This window comes from Homo sapiens, chromosome 16, assembly GCF_000001405.40.
Source record: "Homo sapiens chromosome 16, GRCh38.p14 Primary Assembly".
NCBI classification, from domain to species: domain Eukaryota; kingdom Metazoa; phylum Chordata; class Mammalia; order Primates; family Hominidae; genus Homo; species Homo sapiens.
The window spans coordinates 87,901,391-87,920,746 of record NC_000016.10 but is presented as its reverse complement, the minus strand read 5'-3'; the positions used below and the strand labels follow the sequence as shown (position 1 = coordinate 87,920,746).

Sequence of the window (19,356 nt, the reverse complement as noted above, 5' to 3'; positions counted from 1 at the left end):
CTGGGGAGGCTGAGGCAGAAGAATTGCTTGAACCTGGGAGGCGGAAGTTGTAAGTGAGTCGAGATCACGCCACTGCACTCCAGCCTGGGCAACAAAGTGAGATTTAGTTTCAAAAAAATAAAATAAGTGACTAAATTGGCCAGGCGCAGTAGCTCACGCCTGTAATCCCAGTGCTTTGGGAGGCAGAGGCAGGTGGATCATCTGAGGTCAGGAGTTCCAGACCAGCCTGGCCAACATGGTGAAACCCCGTCTCTACTAAAAATACAAAAATTAGCCGAGCGTGGTGGTGCATGCCTGTAATCCCAGCTACTCAGGAGGCTGAGGCAGAATTGCTTGAACCCAGGAGGCGGAGGTTGCAGTGAGCTGAGATTGCACCACTGCCCTCCAGCCTGGGCGACAGAGCGAGACATTGTCTCAAAAACAAACAAACAATCAAACAAACAAACAAAAAACAGTGACTAAACTGAGAGCAAAGAAATGGAAGGGAGGGAGCAGGAGGATCATCAGTTTCCATCCTTTTACTGCGTGCTCAAATGTAATTTGGCTGCAGGTGAGGTCTGTGCAGACCTCGGGTGAGGGGTGAGTTGGCTATGGCCTGTTTAACTCCACCTGTGCAGACTGCAGCTCAGCCTCGTCCATGCTTCGTGACTCAGCCTTGTCCTCAGGGAAGCTGGGGCTGGTGCACCTTTCAGAAGTGGTCCCAGGTAAGCCCGGCCCTCCTGAGTCCATGGATGGGGAATGCTGGTACAGGCCTAGCAGCTGGCTTTCCGGGGCTGGGTGGAGGGACGAGAGCGGTGATGTGTGGTGTTCGCCACTTTCCATGGTGCAAATACTCCTGCACGGCCGAGTTCAAGTTTTGAAGGTGCAGTCACCGATAGTGGAGTTGGGAAGAGATTTGCAAAGTCAGCTCCAGAGCCAGCATGAGCCATCTCCCACCCGCCGCTGCCCCCTGCCTTCCTCTCTCTTGTCCATGCAGCCTGGGATCTCACTGCTGCTCTCCAAGTGAGGAATTCCAGTAAGCCGTCTTAAGACTTCTTTTTGGTTTACCTGGCAGAACCCCACCTCAAAGTGGCTTAAGCAAAGAGGGAGATTTGCCGGCTCCGATCCTAAAGAGTCCGGGCTGCAACCGGGTGCAGGGGTCGTCGACTGCCAGGGCTCTGAGTGCTCCCCCAGGCTCTGCTTTCCTGTGAGTGCTCCCCCAGACTCTGCTTTCCCCAGGGGACACTCACGGGGGTTCCCTGATGGGGCGAAGGTGGCCGCCCGAGGCTGTGGCTTGGCTTCCAGTGGAGCGATGTCGCCTCTTTCCCGGCAGTTCCAGCCACCATCCCATGGCTGATTCTCAGGGGCCCGGCTTTGGCTGCTCGTCTGGCCAGCCCGAGGGTGACCCCGCCTGGAGCAAGGTGTGTTTGGAGAGTGGGAGGCAGCACTCCCGCAGGACAGCCGAGGACGCTGTTCCCAGAGTAAGGATGGGGCGCCCTCCTCACTGGACGTGCACCCTGGCCATGGACCCCGAGCTGACCTCGGCCCCTCCCTGACTCGGTTGCTCTCAGGTCCAAGGCCACTGCTGCTGTCTCTGTCTCCCAGCGTCAGCCTCTGACCTTGTCCCGACCCCACTTTTGGCTTCCCCACCGGCTTCACATCTGCTTAAAGGATCTAGGCCCTCCCTGCCACAGACTGAAAGAAGGATCCGGTGTGTCTCCCGGGCCATGGAAATGAGCTGGGTCATCCCTCCTTTGGCTCCCGTCCACGCGGGCCAATCTGGTTTCACTTTGTCATTTTCTCCAAAACCCAGTTTCCTTTTTATTTCTCTCCCACTCAGCTTCACGTGCTCCCGGTCCCCTCCCCGTCTCTGCAGCCCATTTTTCCAGGTTCTCGGTCCTCTCCTTCACAGATTTTCTGTCCTCTTTGTTCACCTGGATTGGGAATCGGGAGCCGCTGGGGATGGAGGGAATGAGAACCTCAGATGAAGGACAGGTAGGGCTAGAGAAAGGTTTTCAGAGAGAAACAGAGAAGAATGAGATGAAAACACAGCAAACCCTGCATGGAAGGAGGGGCAGTGCCCATAAGAGAAAGGGAAGGGAGCGGACAAGGTGCAGAGAACTGCACACGGACAGGCTCCCGAGGCCTGGGCCATGCCGTGGCAGGGCCAGAAACAAAGCGAAACAAACGGACAGGCCAAGGAAATTTCCGTCGGCGTGGACACTGCCAGCAGTTTTCCTAGGAGCTGGGGGTGCCAGCACTTGGAGCAAGCATGGGCCAAGGACGATGAGTAACAGAGGTGGCGGCAAGGGCTCTTTCCAGGGAGCGTGTATGGCCTTGAAGGCCAAGGAGGAAAGGCTGGGGGAGCAAAGCGGGGGGAGGAGGGAAGGGGGAGAGGAGAGGTGCCAGTCACAAAGGAAAACAGCAGCCAGATCCACGCGCTGCCACACTGTGCCTGTCCCACCTTGAGTGCCCCCCACAGACAGCTCAGCTCATTCCCTAAAGGTGCGGGAGGGCCCAGCTCATTGGGCAGGGCTGTGTGAAGCACTTGGCACCATTCTGGGAGAATTAAGCATTTAGTAGACAATAGCTTCCTTCAAAATAAATCCAAACGAGGCCTGAGAGCCCGGAATTGGGGGGTGCCTGCCAGGCTGTCCGCATCAGAGGAGGAGGCTCTAGGGACCTCTTGGCTCCTCTAGTGGGGCACAAATCGGCAGCTCCAAGATGAGAGACAGGGGAAGAGTGAATTCCTTGGAGGGGAATCCTGGCAGTGTCGGGACTGGGACTGTGGCTGTGCGGTTCAAGGACGACCCCTGGACTGAGAGGAAACGATGTGAGCATCACGCTTATATCCTGGGAAAGTGATTTATCATCACAAGTTCATAAACTGGCAGTCTAGTTCCTAAAGCGACTACATGTGTGTGCACGTGTGTGTGCATGTGTGTTCGTGTGCATGTGTGCACATGTGCACTGTGTATACATGTGTGCATGTGTGCACATGTGCACTGTGTATACATGTGTGCATGTGTGTTCATGTGTGTGTGCACGTGTTCATGTGTGTGTTCGTGTGCGGGTGTGCATTGTGCACTGTGTGCATGTGTCTCTATGTGCACGTGTGTTCATGTGTGTGCGCACATGTGTGTTTGTGTGTGCACATGTGTGGTGTGTGCATGTGTGCACACGTGTGTTTCCATCTCCATTCTGTATGTAGCTCCTGTTTCTTCCCTCAGGCCTGGGTGTGAATATTTTTGGGGAAGTTAGGTAGAAGTCAGTGTCCCCTCTCTCTCTACAGATATTTTCTCTGCTTTCTGGTCCTCAAGACTGAAAAATGAAAACGTACCAAACAGCTTCCAAAGTTTACCTGTTAGAGATTCAGCCACTGGGGAGCCACTGTTCCTGTTCTTGCTCACTTCCAATTCTAAATTCCCAGAGCAGTGACTCTGATTGGCCCAGCCCTGCACTAATTAGGAGCGGGACTGAGGAAGAGGCTCTGATTGGTCCAGCATGGTTTGAGTGCCCATCCCTGTCCAATCAACTGTGACCAGGGGTGCGATCATGTTGGACAAAATGTCAGGCAGTGGAGCCACTGTTGTTATCATTTGGATCCAGAAGCCCATTTCTTTTTTCTTTTCTTTCTTTTCTTTTCTTTTTTTTTTTTTTTTTGAGACAGACTCTCGCTCTGTCACCCAGGCTGGAGTGCAGTGGAGCTGTCTTGGCTCACTGCAACCTCCGCCTCCCGGGTTCACACCATTCTCCTGCCTCAGCCTCCCGAGTAACTGGGACTACAGGCGCCTACCACCACGCCTGGCTAATTTTTGTTTGTATTTTTAGTAAAGACGGGGTTTCACTGTGTTAGCCAGGATGGCCTCGATCTCCTGACCTCGTGATCCTCCTGCCTCGGCCTCCCAAAGTGCTGGGATTACAGGCGTGAGCCACCATGCCCAGCCCAAAAGCCCATTTCTGATCGTCCAGCTTCCCAGACGCTTCCCAGGTGCACCGCGACCCCTGTGTGCTGTGTGGTCTTTTGTAGGGAGGAAGGATCAATCAAGACAGTGAAACCCCTGCTCCCATGGAGCTTGCCTTCTGGTGGGATAAGAAAATTAGTAAACATTAATTAATAAATAGGTACTTCTCTACACAAGTTTACAGAAAAATAAACGAATATGTACATAAGAAAGAAGATGGTTTTGGATAGTGATAAGTGCTGTGATGAAAATGAAAGCAGGTGATAGGCCAGCGGTGACTCCACTGAGGGAGGTTGTGAGCATTACACAACATGGTCAGAAAAGACCCCACTGGACCCAAGTCCCAGCTGGTAAGAAAGTGCCAGCTTCATGACGGTGGGGAGGAGCATTCCAGCATCACCGTTTTAAAATACGAGCATCCTAAATATTACACAAACCATACTTATGCTAAATATTTGGGATCTACACTAAAAATGTAGTGTAGTGTAAAAATGGGGTTTCACCATGTGGGCCAGGCTGGTCTCGAACTCCCAACCTCAAGCTATCCACCCACCTCAGCCTCCCAAAGTGCTGGGATTATAGGCGTGAGCCACTGCACTCAGCCAATCCGATGGTTTTTTGTTTTTTTTTTTTTTGAGACGGAGTCTTGCTCTGTCACCCAGGCTGGAGTGCAGTGGCGCGATCTCTGCTCACTGCAAGCTCCACCTCCCGGGTTCACGCCATTCTCCTGCCGCAGGCTCCCGAGTAACCCCTTTTGCTTGGTTCTCATTCTGTCTCTTGGCTGCCCCCATGCAAGACCTGCCTTTCGCCTTCTGCCGTGATTGCGAGGCCTCCCCAGCCACGTGGAACTGTGAGTCCATTCAACCTCTTTTTCTTTGTAAATTACCCAGTCTCGGGTATGGCTTTATCAGCAGCATGAAAACAGACTAATACACTGTTGTTTCTTATTAAATGTTATTGGCTTATTTTGAAAACAAAAGCTTACCAAATACATGTGGTTATGGGAAGGGGCCAGAAAGTTACACTGCAAGTAAAAATATCAGTAACTATGTTTACTGGGTGGTGATGGCATAAACAATAGTTTTTCCTTTTTTTTTTTTTTTTTTTTTTTTTGGAGACAGGATCTTGCTCTGTCGCCCAGGCTGCAGTGCAGTGGTGCAATCACAGCCCACTGCAGCCTCGACCTCCTGAGCTCAATTGATCCTCCCACCTCAGCCTCCTGGGTAGTTGCATCTACAGGTGTGAGCCACAAAAAAAAAAAAAAAAAAAAAAAAAATTTTGACACAGGATCTGGTACTGTTGCCCAAGCTGAAGTGCATCTGGGCTCACTGCAAGCTTCTCCTGAGCTCAAACCACCCTCTCACCTTAGCCTCCCAAGTAGCTGGGACTACAGGCTCACTCCACCACGCCTGGCCTTGTTTTTCCTTTGTAAACATCGTTCTACAATGCTGTGGGTACATCGCTTTTTCAATATAAAGTTTCCTTTGGAAGTTTATAAATCCAGTTTGGGCCTTGGAGGAAAGCAGTCAGTGATAGAAATTTCGTGACTCTGAGGGAGTTTGGTGGAGCTTCGAATTGTAGATTGTTTCCCAGGGACCGCTGCAGACACAAAGCCCTGACCTCTGGATCCCCAGTGATAAATGCGATCAAAGGCGAGTGTGGTCGGACGTGCGCTGCAACGCGAGTCGAGGTTTCATCGAGCCTCATTCGGTGGCTCCTGGGGCAGTTGTGTGGATGAAGAGGGCCATGTCCGTGAAACGCTCAGGATGGAGCTGGTGGTGCGGCGGCCATGCTGGCCCCATCGCTCACACCCCTCACCCGTCAACTCGGTGCCCGGCGTTTTCCTTAGCTCCTCTGTGGATTAACTCTCGTTCCGAAGACGGGAGGCCGAGGTTTCATCTCAGCTCTGTTCCTGGCTCATGGCTGCACTTCTCTGTGCCCATCCCCTCCCCTGACGAGGGGAATGAGAACCTTGCCTAGGGAAACACTTAGGGGACGGTGGCCCGTGACTCCATGCCAGCCCCTCCCAAGCCCAGCCGCCAGCTGAGGTCCTGACCACCTTGTGGACTGCCCGGTGCTCCCGCCCTGCGCCCGCCCCCACGTCCTCCCTCCTGCTCTCCGTGGTTCCCTCGTGTTGCTGTGCCAGTAGCTGAGCCCCCATGCCCACCCACTGCAACTGCCCCTTCCCTCCCTGCTGGCTTCCCCACTGCGTTGCTCCCCTGCAGGGGCCAGTGAGTGGCTCTAGCTGTGTTCAGACGGCTCTGTGCCTCCTCCTCCTCCCACCCCAGTTCCTCAGCCTTGGAGACAGACGGGGGTGCAGCGGGGCTGAACGGCACTGCAAGCTCGTGGGGCTGGGGGTCCGCATCTGCACCCGCCGCGTGGCTAGCACCCCCTGAGTGTTTTGGTCAATATGCCATCATCCCACCCCTCAGTGCTGCTGGCGGTTGCCTGACGAAAAGCTGCACTTAATAGAAATCACTGTGGATGCAGGAGATGGACGGTGATGAGCTCAGGACCAGCCAGCAACCCCATCAGGCGGTAATGCCTACCATGGTCACCCGTGACTTCCTCTCGCCACTGCTCGGAGCTCCTGCAAAGCCACAGGCAACAACACATTTCTGCTCCATACGAGAAGTTCCTATTGTAAATCGGTGACATGGCTGCAGTTTTCTCTCAGCAAATATTGAGCAAACACTGACTGTGCCAGGTGATGTGCTGGGTCCCAGACCCTTCCCAGACCCAGCCCTGGCACTCACGGAGATCCAGCTAGGAAGTCCGGGAAAAGGTCATCGGGGAAATAAGCGACGTCAAGCACAGTGGATGAACGCGCTGCCGCCGCTCCCCACGCCTCTTGTGGTGAACATCACTTACGCTTCCTCGTGGTAGACGTCACTTAAGCTTCCTTATGCCCTCCCAGATGACCCCCCTTGGGCCACTACACACGGCTGCACCCAGCAAGAGCAGACAAGGATGGTCTACTCAGCGAGCCTGCAAGGCTGGTGTGCAGGACGGGCCAGCTACGCTCCCCAGGTGTGTGCAAGACCGGGGACGAGTCAGTCACTGGGAGGTGAGGTGCTCGGGCAGTGTGGGGTGGAGGAGGAGGGAGGGAAGCTGAGTGTGGGCTCTTCGTATTGGAGAGGAGGGGGGGGCCACGGCACAGACACTCAGATGGGAAGGTGCAAGAAAGAGCAGAGATTTCAAAGGAGCTACGGTGGAGGCCCACGGAAGAGGAATGCTGAGGCTTTTCCATCTGAAATGCTGAATAGACTCTAGCACACGCAAAACAGCCCACCACAGTGAGCTGCAGGATTCTTCCGGGCTTTTAACAGTGGTCTTGTAAAAAAAATTAGCCGGGCATGGTGGTCCCAGCTACTCAGGAGGCAGAGAGGGGAGGATGGCTTGCGCCCAGGAGGTTGAGGCTGCAGTGAGGCATGATCACACCATTGCACTCCAGCCTGGGTGACAGAATGAGACCCCTGACTCAAAAAAAAAAAAAAGACTGGAACATTCAAAACCTGTTGATGGGCCAGGTGTGGTGGCTCACGCCTGTAATCCCAGCACTTTGGGAGGCCGAGGCAGGTGGATCACCTGAGGTCAGGAGTTTGAGACCAGCCTGGCCAACATGGTGGAACCCTGTCTCTGGTAATAATACAAAAATTAGCCAGTTGTGGTGGTGCCTGCCTGTAATCCCAGCTACAGGAGGCTGAGGCAGAATTGCTTGAACCTAGGAGGCGGAGGCTGCAGTGAGCCAAGATTGTACCACTGCATCCAGCCTGGGTGACAGAGCGAGACTCTGTCTCAAAAAAAAAAAAACCATGTTGCGGTTTGTTGGCGAAGGCCCCACTTCCTTTAGCCACCACCGGCGCCGACCCTGTTGCCCCTGTAATCCCATCTCCTGCTGCCCCTGACAGTGCCTTCGCCGGCTGGTGCTTCCGCCTGTTCCGTTGTGGTGGCTGCTGTCACCAGGGTCCTTTCCGCTGGTCGTCCCTTTCTGCCTGGAGCCGCCATTATCTTCACCTGACAAATAGAAACCCATCTTCAGGGCTCCACTGAAACGCCGCTTCCACGGGGGCCCTCCTGGGCGTCCCAAGCAAGTTTAGGGCCCCAAAGCCCACACTCTCACCTCTCAGACACACAGCTTTTTATCTCTACCACCGTCTGCCCCTCCTGGATTCCACGCTCTGCGAGGGCAAGTCTGAGCCCAGAGCCTCCTCCCTCTGTCCCTTGTACTGAGCGTGGTGCCCGGCACGTGGGAGAAAGTCAGTGGGTGTTTTCGGATGAATGAGGGACTTTTCTTCTTTTATGCTTGCATGGTTGGCAAAGCCCTTTCTTATGGACGTGTTCTTAAGACATATTTATCTTTCGACGTCTTTACGTGCAGGTCTCACCTTGAGAATCGTGGTATCTGCTTCAGGGGACTGCGGATCTCTGCCGTGGTGAGATGATGGTGATGGCAGTGAGGATAGCAATTTTAGTTTATTTTATTGTTTATTTATTTATTGAGATGGAGTCTCCCTCTGTCGCCCAGGCTGGAGTTCAGTGACACGACCTCGGCTCACTGCAACATGCACCTCCCGGGTTCAAGCGATTCTCTCACCTCCGCCTCCCAAGTAGCTGGCACTACAGTCGCGTGCCACCACGCCCAGCTAATTTTTGTATTTTTAGTAGAGACGGGGTTTCACCATGTTGCCCAGGCTGGTCTCAGACATCTGACCTCAAGTGATCTGCCCGCCTCAGCCTCCCAAAGTGCTGGGATTACAGGTATGAGCCACCGTGCCTGGGCGATGACAGTAATTTTAATAATAACAATAACACCAGTCATAATAATAGTAAGTGGCTACCATTATTTGAGCTCTCACTGCGTGCCAGGGACTGTGAGGGAGGTACTTTGTAAGCATCACCGTACTCAATCCTTGCCATGGGCCCCTGAAGTAGGCATCATTATCCTTTTATAAACGTCTAGTCTGGGCCACAGACCTATAAAACAACTTGCAAAGCCCCACCGTGTGAAGCCAGGATTGGAGCCCACATTTGCCTGGCTTTCAAACCAGTGCCAATATGTGATGGTCTCAGAGGCTAACTTCCAGGGAGCAGTCTAGGTTCCATCGTCGCGGAGTTCTGTGGGCAGGGGCTTGCAGTGGCTGCGGCCCCTGCCTGCCTGGGGAGGTGGCACACAGAAGCCCTCAGCCGTGTCACCCTTTACAGCTTGGGAACGTGCACTACCTCCCAGAGTGGCACCGGAAGCAGGCCGGTCCTTTGCAGCATCATGTTATTTGAAATTTCCAGTAATTAGAACATCTCAAACTTCTCGTGTACTAATTTTAAGCCTTCAAACAACCCGTGCCTGCCAAAAGCCTGCTCATCTTGGTAAAAGCCCCGAACTACAAATAGATGGCTATTAACAGCATCTGTTGTAATAGCAGAGACAATATTCTCTGGGGCCAGCACGTCACAGCCTGGAGCCGGCCCCAAACGTCATCTGTTATTATGTTTGGAGAGTCTGGCACGCGCTGAGGCAATCGTTCAATTATATCTCCATGAGCCGGTTCTGACGCACCTGCTTACACAGAACGCTGAGGCAACAGTGGCCAGTGCTGCCCGGTGGACCAGCCCTGCTGATAGCAGAGTCCGGGGGATGGGGGCTGGCAGCTTAAAGACCCCTTTTCGTGAATTGGGCTTGCCTTTTTTTTTTTTTTTTTTTTTGATTAAGGAGAATACCCTGACATTGTATTGTCATTATGAAAAGTCACTTTAGGCTGGGCACAGTGGCTCATGCTTGTAATCCCAGCACTTGGGGAGGCTGAGGCGGCAGATCCCTTGAGGTCAAGAGTTCAAGACCAGCCTGGCCAACATGGTGAAACCCCGTCTCTACTAAAAATACAAAAATTAGCTGGGCATGCTGGTGGGTGCCTATAATCCCAGCTACTCGGGAAGCACAGGTGAGAGAATCGCTTGAGCTCAGGAGGTGGAGGTTGCAGTGAGCCAAGATCTGGCCATTGCACTCCAGCCTAGGTGACAGCAAGGCTCCATCTCAAAGAAACAAAAACAAAAACAAAAATTAGTGGGGTGTGGTAACACATGTCTGTAGTCCCAGCAACTCAGGAGGCTGAGGCAGGAGAATCACTGGAACCTGGGAGGCAGAGGTTGAAGTGAGCCGAGAGCACCCCACCGCGCTCCAGCCTGGGTAACAGAGTGAGACTCCACCTAAAAAAAAAGAAGTCACTTTGAGATTATTTTATCCAGGTCTGCAGCCTTAAATTGGGTCCCTAACTTTACTGGCAAGGCAAGTAGCAGAGTTTGGCCTGAACCCTACTACAAAAGCTGAGGGCCTGGACCGTCAGACCTGGGTGAGGTTGCCGGCTAAACTGGGGCAGGTGACCGAACCTCTCTGCGTCTCAATTTCCTCATCTCAAAGTTGGACTCACAGGACCTGCTCTGTAGGGCCATTGTGAGGAGTTCATCCTGGGAGGAACATAAAGTTACCTCGCAATGCCCAGCAGGTAGCAGGTGCCCAGCGAACGCCAGCTCCTCCGCTGCACTCTGGTACACACCAAGCCTTCTCCATCACGACAACGACGTGAGCTCATGGACAGGATGCGTGGTGCCCGGGACACGGCAGAACCTGGCCAGTGAGAGCCTTTGCCCCTTAATCAGCTGTTTCACCCCATGAAGGCTTCAGTGGCTTCCAGTTCGTTGTTTTTTGTTTGTTTGTTTGTTTTAGAGTGCTTCCTTTACGTCAAGCGTTGTGCTAAGGACTTCGTATTTCCCATGTGACTTAACCGTAACAGCAGTCCTATGGTGGGGGTTCAAGGATCATCCGCACTTTACAAATGGGGAAACTGAGGCTAGAAGGGGTGCAAAAGCTGGACCTAGAGCACACAGTTTGGGAGTGGTGGCCCCAGCTTCTGAACGTGCGTCCGACTCCAGACCCCACTCCTGACCCCATGCTGTGTTGTCTACAGGAAGAGTAACGAAACACGGCTTTCCAGTTTTTAAAGAAATACGCTTGGCATTTTGCTGGTGGGCGGTCTTCGCGGCGCAGGTCTAATTTCGGAATTTACAGTGGGATTTAAAATTTGCAGTGAGATTCTCTGTTTCACCTTGAAAGAGGCTCAAGGTGTATGAATCCCACACTAGACTGATGCTGAAGAGGAGCCTGTGGAATCCACACCCGCTGGCATTTCCAGTAAAAAGGCCTCTGTGTCTTCCTGAAATGCGTGCGCCCCGCGCGGGCTACGTTGCTCTTCACCGAACTGCCACCAGGGGCCGCTCCAGCCCAGCCCGAGTGATCCATCGGCCCCTGCACCTGCTGTTCCCGAAAACGCAGCGGCCCAGCCTTCCTTTGCAGTTATCCTCTTAGAAGAACGAACGTTTCGCTTCCCTCCTCATTTGCGTATCATAGAGCCAGAGAGACCCAGTAGCCTTTTTGGGTTTTCCCCTGAGCGTGCTTGGTCCCCAGCCCAGGGTGGCCGCCGTTTCAAGCAAGTCCCTTGTTCAGGTACAGGCGTGCAGATGCCCCGAGCCAGCCTGAGGAGGGGCCGCATGTCCCGAGGGCCCCATGGTTCCCCTCAGGAGGCAGATTGGAAAGGGCTGACTTGTCTCTTACTCCAGTGAGTAGAGAGGCGGGGGATCCGGCCCATCAGAGGCTGCTGCAGTAAAGAATTCTGTGAGAGGCTGGGCACAGTGGCTCACGTCTGTAATCCCAGCACTTTGGGAAGCCAAGGCAGGCGGATCATGAGGTCAGGAGATCGAGATCATCCTGGCCAACATGGTGAAACCCCGTCTCTACTAAAAATACAAAAAAAAAAAAAAATAGCCGGGTGTGGTGGTGCGCACCTGTAGTCCCAGCTACTTGGGAGGCTGAGGCAGTGAGGCAGGAGAATCTCTTGAACCCGGGAGGTGGAGGTTGCAGTGAGCTGAGATCACGCCACCGCATTCCAGCCTGGGCGACAGAGTGAAACTCTGTCTCAAAAAGAAGAAAAAGCAGAAGAAGAAGGAGGAGAAGAAGAATTCTGGGACAGCTCGGGGTCGGGAAGGATGAAGAGATGCCTGTGGGCTCCAGCCCTGCTGGAAACCCTTGGGAAAGTCTTCCAGCCCCAGAGTTAGCACAGCACCTTACCCTGCAGAGGCTCAGGGCTCACAAGTCCCTTCCGGTCCCAGCAGCTCCCGTTCCTGGCCCTTGTTGGTTGGCCACAGTCTGGAGGGTGACTTTTCTACTAGGTTTTGTGGGTGGGGATCCGGCAGGCATCGGCTGTCAGTGGACTTATGCCTCATGCAGTTGGCGTCGCTCTCTTTGGAACCCTATTTATGTGCCTACGTAGAACCCTAGGGTGCTTGAGCTGGGACCAGGAGAAACGTGTAGTAACTCTCTTTACACAGACGAAGCTGCGGAGCCCCTGAAGGGTGTGCGATGCGCAATCACCACCACTGCCATCATCAGACAACACTTTACAAAATGCCTCCTGCCTTGTCTCCATTTATCCTGCCCGCCCTTCTCATTTAACAGGTAGAGAGGCTTAGGCTCAGAGAGGCTAAGCTACTTGCCCAGGGTCACACAGCAAGTTAGAAGCAGAGCTGAGTTGCAAATCCAGGTCTTTAACTATTTCTGTGTTCTGTGGACTTTCCTAGAGATCCCAGGCGGTTCCCCAACTGCCGTGGGAAAGGCTCGATTCCACTGTAACACACAGAGCTGCTTACCGACCAAGTGATTCGATGAATAAATCAGTGGACTGACTAATCCCATTCGTTCCTGTATTCATTCATCCCATGAGGGTTCGTTGTGTGCCTTCGATGACCCCTTCCTGCACTAAGTCCTGTTGATACAGTGATGGTCCAGACGGAAACAACCGCTTTTGTTTGTTTGTTTGTTTGTTTTTGAGACGGAGTTTCACTCTTGTTGCCCAGGCTGGAGTGCAGTGGCGCTATCTCGGCTCACTGCAACCTCCGCCTGCCAAGTTCAAGCAATTCTCCTGCCTCAGCCTCCCAAGTAGCTGGGATTACAGGCACCTGCCACCACACCTGGCTAATTTTTTGTATTTTTAGTAGAGGTGGGGTTTGACCATGTTGGTCAGGCTGGTCTTGAATTCCTGACCTTGGGTGATCTGCCTACCTTGGCCTCCCAAAGTGCTGGGATTACAGGCGTGAGCCACCACACCCAGCCTAGAAACAGCCTCTGCTCTAAGAGTGCAACTGGATGGGACTTAACTCAGTCTTACAAATGGCATCTACCAGGCTGGGTCCAGTCTAATTTGTCCATGAAGCATCCATCATCCCTGCCTTCTAGGCATTTCTATTCTAGAAGAGATGATACAGACATGCGTGAATTTCCACACAGTAAACTTATCATGAGTGAGCCCATCCCAAGAGAGAGAGGCAGACCCCCTGGGAGGCTCCACCCTCAGTCACCCATCAATGCACTTTGATGCTGCTGGGGCTGGTCGGCTGCAAACCCCCTTTCCCCCACAGACACAGGCCGAGGCAGAAGCGAGCACAGAGCTCACCGTGCTCCCATTTTGTGGTTCTGTAAGTTCCTTAGATTGTGTTTTGGAGGCCAGGCACGGTGGCTCACGCCTGTGTTTTGTTTTTGAGACAGAGTCTCACTCTGTCGCCCAGGCTGAAGTGCATTGGCGCAATCTCGGCTCACTGCAACCTCCACCCGCCAGGTTCAAGCGATTCTCCTGCCTCAGCCTCCCAAGTAGCTGGGATTACAGGCACCCACCAATACACCTGGCTAATTTTGTGTATTTTTAGTAGAGATGAGGTTTTATCATGTTGGCCAGGCTGGTTTCAAACACCTGACCTCAAGTGATACACCCGCCTTGGCCTCCCAAAGTGCTAGGATTACAGGCGTGAGCCACTGTGCCTGGCCTAACAAAGTGATTTTATGTGCTTATTGTGGGAAGGACTCTTTCTGTGTATTTTTAAAAATTGAGATGTAATTCATCTGTGTATGTTTAAGGAGAATAGAAGATTTGCTCATAATGGTAGAATTTTAAAACTAGATATGACTCTGAGGTTGCTCCAGACCAACACTGAGATTTTGAGTGAAGAGGGGCAGTGAGCAGCTCTGTGGCTTGGTCCAGCACTTGCCTAGCCCCTGACTGGACTAAAGCCAAATCCATTTTCCATTTTCCAGTTTACACCTTGGTGCCTCCAACTATGAGTACTTTTTTTTTTGAGACTGATTCTCACTCCGTCGCCCAGTCTGGAGTACAGTGGCACGTTCTCAGCTCACTGCAACCTCCGCCTCCCAGGTTCGAGCAATTCTCCTGCCTCAGCCTCCCGAGTAGCTGGGATTACAGGCACCCGCCACCACACCCAGCTAATTTTTGTATTTTCAGTAGAGATGGGTTACACCACGTTGGCCAGGCTGGTCTCTAACTCCTGACCTCAAGTGATCCGCCCGCCTCGGCCTCCCAAAGCGCTAGGAGTACAGGTGTGAGCCACCACGCCCAGCCCAAGTACTTCTGGTGTCGGGAAACCACCAGGAGTCAGCAGTGTCAAGCTCCCCAAGGCATTCATCACGCGCTCAGTGCTTTCCTGGCTTTTGCCACAGCGGGAGGTGACATGAGGCTCCTCCACAGCTATGGGAGGCACTCGGGCCACCCTGAATTCGGGATCAGTGCTCCAGTTCTGCTGGCGCCTTCCAGCCTTGCCCAGCCATCCCAGGAGCACGCTGTGCTGCTTTCAGTGAAAACGTGTGGAACGGGTACCCCATTTGTAGCAGCTGCTGATGGAAATCTGTTAGTGACAAAGTACTTAGACACAGGAGAAGCCACCCACATCCGAACCCCTGGGGAGCTCGTTAAAAGGCAGACTCCCAGCACTACCTGGACGTGGGAATGGCAGCCATGACTCTGGGGGCCAGAGCCAGAGGCCTCAGCGAGCGATGCTTATGGCTGAGCCCCACATGTCAGGAGAAGCAAGCTCCTGGGAGGCTGCACCTGGCACTGTGCCATGGAGAGGGGCACCCCGAGGCCTGCAGGTAGAGAGTGCTGACTCCAAGGTGAGTGTTTAGGGTGACTTAGGAAGGAAGGAGTGTTCCAATAAAAGCTGGCCCTGTGGTGGGCCTAGATTAAGCAGGGACTGCCAGAGATCAGGACTGATGCTACAGCTCAGGGTCTTCTTATTTAAAGACCTTGCTCACCCAGGAGCGGTGGCTCACACCTGTCATCCCAGCGCTTTGGGAGGCAGAGGCGGGTGGATCACCTGAGATCAGGAGTTTGAGACCAGCCTGGCTAACATGGTGAAACCCCGTCTCTACTTAAAATACAAAAATTGGCTTGGCCTGGTGGCACATGCCTGTAATCCCAGCTACTCAGGAGGCTGGGGCAGGAGAATCACTAGAACCCAGAGGTGGAGGTTGCAGTGAGCTGAGATCATGCCATTGTACTCCAGCCTGGGCAATAGAGTAAGATTCTGTCTTAAAATAAAACAAAACAAGACAAAACAAAAACTTTGCTCATTGTGTGTTATTTTATAATGTTATTTGGTGATAGGATTTAAGCTGCTTTTAAAAAATATTTGGAAGACACCTTTTTTTTTAATTAAAGTCTGGAAATCTTATAGGACAGGCAGGCATCACAGAAACGTTCTTTACGGATTTCTGCCTGCAGGGAGTTGAGGCCCTCACCACCACCCAGTGGCAGCACTGGGACCCTGCCTTCATTCCACATTTACTGTGAACCTCTGGGCAGGCGCTGGGCTGGGGGGGGGCAGAGTGAATGGGACAGACAGAGCCCACCTTTCACGGAGCCCACCTTTGGCTTGTCACTTCAACCATACAGCAACCCCTTGCGAGTGAACTCATATAACCCTAATGTAGACAATGCCTCAGGTAACACCACAGCTCAACAAACAGACAAAATGACACACACGTCTCACTGCCTTTATTTCCAGGAATTAGTGGTGGGCCCTTGGAAAACCACTACAGACTGAAGCAATTTCACTTCCACTGGGGAGCAGTGAACGAGGGGGGCTCAGAGCACACAGTGGACGGCCACGCGTACCCCGCAGAGGTTTGTAGACGTGGCCTAACAGCACATATCTGCACACTTTCCATGTCTCCGGCTCTATGGTGGGGGGTGAACAAGCCATGCGCGCCGCTCAGATGTGAAGGATTTCCTGGGGCCTGGGACTGTCAGTGCTCAAACCAGAACCGTCGGCCGCCCCACCCGTTTAGTCACACCTCTCCTACGAGGAAGGCGCTGTAAGTTCTCTCTCATTTAACGGAAGAAGAGACTGAGGTTCTGAATGGTTACGGAACTTGCCAAAGCCAGACAGCCGGGATGCAAAGTCAGAGCTTGAGCTCTTTGCCGCACTTCACTCAGCTGTGTGCTTGCAGCTGTAGGGACTAGCAAATCCACAAGGCCCTCTGCTGAGAAGCTGAACATCTTTGCAATAGAGATCATCTTCTTTTGTTTGTTTGTTTGTTTGTTTTTTGGTTTTTGGTTTTTTTTTTTTGAAACAGGGTTCACTCTGTCACCCAGACTGGAGTGCATTGGTGCAATCTTGGCTCACCACAACCTCCGTCTCCCAGGCTCAAGCGATTCTCCTGCCTCAGCCTCCCGAGTAGCTGGGATTACAGGTGCGTGCCACCAGGCCCTGCTAATTTTTGTATTTTTAGTAGAGATGGGGTTTCGCCATGTTGGCCAGGCTGGTCTCGAACTCCTGACCTCAAGTGATCCACCCACCTCAGCCTCCCAAAGTGCTAGGATAACAGGCGTGAGCCACCGTACCCGGCTAAGATCATCTTAAAGCAGTCTTATTTTCAACCTTCCAAAGTGGGAGTCAGTAGAGAAAATCAGTGCATATCAATGTTGGGAATTGGTTTTTGTAGTTTTTTTGGGGTGATAAGTGATGCCTTATAGATTTCCCCAAATATTTCATTATGAAATTTTTGCAACATACGAAAAAATGAAAAGAAATGAACGAGAAGAATCTACGAGTTTGATGTCTCAGTCCTGTGATGATCATTTTTGCCATATTCACTTTATCACACCTCTGCTCACCCACTCACCTAACTTTTTGATGCTTTTTCAAGCTGAGGACTCTTTCTGTTTTTTGAACTTGTTGTTGTTATGAAAGTAATGCTGCAGTTAATGTGGAACTAGAGTCCACCCAAACCAAAAAATGAAAATTGCTTGTAATCTCACACCCAGAGGTGACCTCCGGACATTTTATAAATAGGGAGTGATATCTATTGTCATCATCATACACATATTTATAAATTGTTCCAAGAATGAGCACAACAATGGCTTCTGTGTGCTTCCTTTCATTTAACAACATGACTTTTATTTTAGTATCTCTATCTGCAACTTTGTTTTTGATGAACAGATATTTTATTTATTTATTTATCTGTTTTTGAGACTGAGTATCACTCTGTTGCCTAGGCTGGAGTGCAGTGGCGCTATCTCACGATCTTGGCTCACTGCAACCTCTGCTGCCCAGGTTCAAGTGATTCTCCTGCCTCAGCCTTCTGAGTAGCTGGGATTACAGGCACCTGCCACTGCGCCTGGCTAGTTTTTGTAGTTTTAGTAGGGACGGGGTTTCACCATCTTGGCCAGGCTGGTCTTGAACTCCTGACCTCGTGATCCACCCACCTCGGCCTCCCAGAGTGCTGAGATTATAGGCGTGAGCCACCGCGCCCAGCCGAGGCCTGAGTTTCTTCTGGTAATTCTTGTCCAAGGATAACTAGGAAGTAGAAAATAATGAAACCACCCATTTCTATTGGATGAGGTTAACATGATCCTCTCCTTTCCCCCCCCACCAGGAAGACTGAGGCTGTTCCTTCCTGTGGCTTCGTCAAGGGCCTGGGAGCTCAGAGGTGCTGCTGGTGCTGGGATCTTACTCATCTGGCTGCAACAACTTAGTTCTTTTTTTTTTTTTTTGTGAGATGGAGTCTCGCTCTGTCACCCAGGCTGGAGTGCAGTGGCACAATCTCAGCTCACTGCAAGCTCTACCTCCTGGGTTCACACCATTCTCCTGCCTCAGCCTCCTGAGTACCTGGGACTACAGGCTCCCGCCACCACGCCCAGCTAATTTTTTTTTTTTGTATTTTTAGTAGAGACAGGATTTCAGCATGTTAGCCAGCATGGTCTCGATCTCCTGACCTCGTGATCCACCCGCCTCCGCCTCCCAAAGTGCTGGGATTACAGGTGTGAGCCACCGCGCCTGGCCATTTCATTATGATTAAGTGGACACATAGGTCAGCCATTCAGAAGGGGAAGTGACTGTCTTATTTCTTGCTGATCAATTTAAGTTCTCTTTCCATTGTGTTTCAGCTGCATTTAGTTCACTGGAATTCTGTGAAATACCAAAATTACAAGGAAGCTGTCGTGGGAGAGAATGGTTTGGCTGTGATAGGCGTGTTTTTAAAGGTAATCACTTGCTCGGGTGTAGATCTAATGAAGAAAGTGGTGATCCATCATTAGGATTGCTTTTTTTTTTTTGAGACAGGACTCGCTGTGTCACACAGGCTGGAGTGCAGTGGCACAGTCTCGGCTCATTGCAACCTGCACCTCCTGGGTTCAAGTGATTCTCCTGCCTCAGCCTCCCCAGTAGCTGGGACTATAGGAGTGTGCCACCACACCCAGCTAATTTTTGTATTTTTAGTAGAGACAGGGTTTCACCATATTGGCCAGGCTGGTTTCGAACTCCTGACCTTAGATGATCCGCCCACCTCGGCCTCCCACAGTGCTAGGATCACAGGCATGAGCCACCGCACCTGGCCTAGGATTGCTTTTAAAACGTGGTGTATTTACAGTGGAGTGAGCTTCCCCCCCCATCCACTGCCTTTGCAGCTAACCCCTCCTTTGTCTGCCATGCAGCTCGGGGCCCATCATCAGACGCTGCAGAGGCTGGTGGACATCTTGCCGGAAATAAAACATAAGGTAAGCTGCATATTTGAAATCAGCAGGCCGGGCGCGGAGGCTCACGCCTGTAATCCCAGCACTTTGGGAGGCTGAGGCAGGTGGATCACGTGAGGTTGGGAGTTCGAGACCAGCCTGACCAACATGGAGAAACCCCGTCTCCACTAAAAATACAAAACTAGCTGGGTGCGGTGGCACATGCCTGCAATCCCAGCTACTCGGGAGGCTGAGGCAGGAGAATCGTTTGAACCCAGAGGTGGAGGTTGCAGTGAGCTGAGATCGTGTCATTGCACTCCAGCCTGGGTGACAAGAGTGAAATCCCATCTCAAAAAAAAAAAAAGAAAAGAAAAGAAAGAAATCAGTATAATCTGACAAGCAAAATTGTTTAGTGCAGCGATTCATTTGCAAGGAAAAAGAAATGGCGTAGTGGAAAGAGCCCCGCCAAGGGGCTGTGGTTCCAGTTCTGGAAATGGGATTCCGCAGGGTTGATGCTGGTGTGTCCACAGCTAGGTCTCTCTGACTTCGAATGCATCACCACTGCT

The 19,356-nt window shown here is 52.2% G+C and overlaps 1 protein-coding gene across 6 annotated transcripts in view, besides 1 other annotated feature; it reads left to right on the top strand.

Moving 5' to 3' along the window:
* Positions 1-19,356, top strand: part of CA5A (carbonic anhydrase 5A) — a 54,981-nt gene that overhangs the window by 15,783 nt on the left and 19,842 nt on the right. For 3 of the 6 annotated variants that reach the window (NR_159798.1, NM_001367225.1, NM_001739.2), the window contains exons 3-5: positions 15,843-15,961; positions 18,227-18,322; positions 18,773-18,835. The exons of 1 other annotated variant lie outside the window; for it this stretch is intronic. Coding sequence is in view for 3 of the 5 variants with exons in the window: in NM_001367225.1 (NP_001354154.1) it covers positions 15,843-15,961; positions 18,227-18,322; positions 18,773-18,835 (278 nt within the window). In the remaining 2 variants the exon portion in view is untranslated. The remainder of the gene's footprint in view (positions 1-15,842; positions 15,962-18,226; positions 18,323-18,772; positions 18,836-19,356) is intronic. 2 more of the 6 variants (NR_159799.1, XM_047434594.1) reach the window with 1 other exon arrangement.
* Positions 11,100-11,169: an enhancer, noted in NCBI's record as "active region_11343". NCBI's record gives its function as "activates an Ori minimal core promoter by ATAC-STARR-seq in GM12878 lymphoblastoid cells {active_cell/tissue: GM12878}" and the evidence as "EXISTENCE:reporter gene assay evidence [ECO:0000049][PMID:35858748]".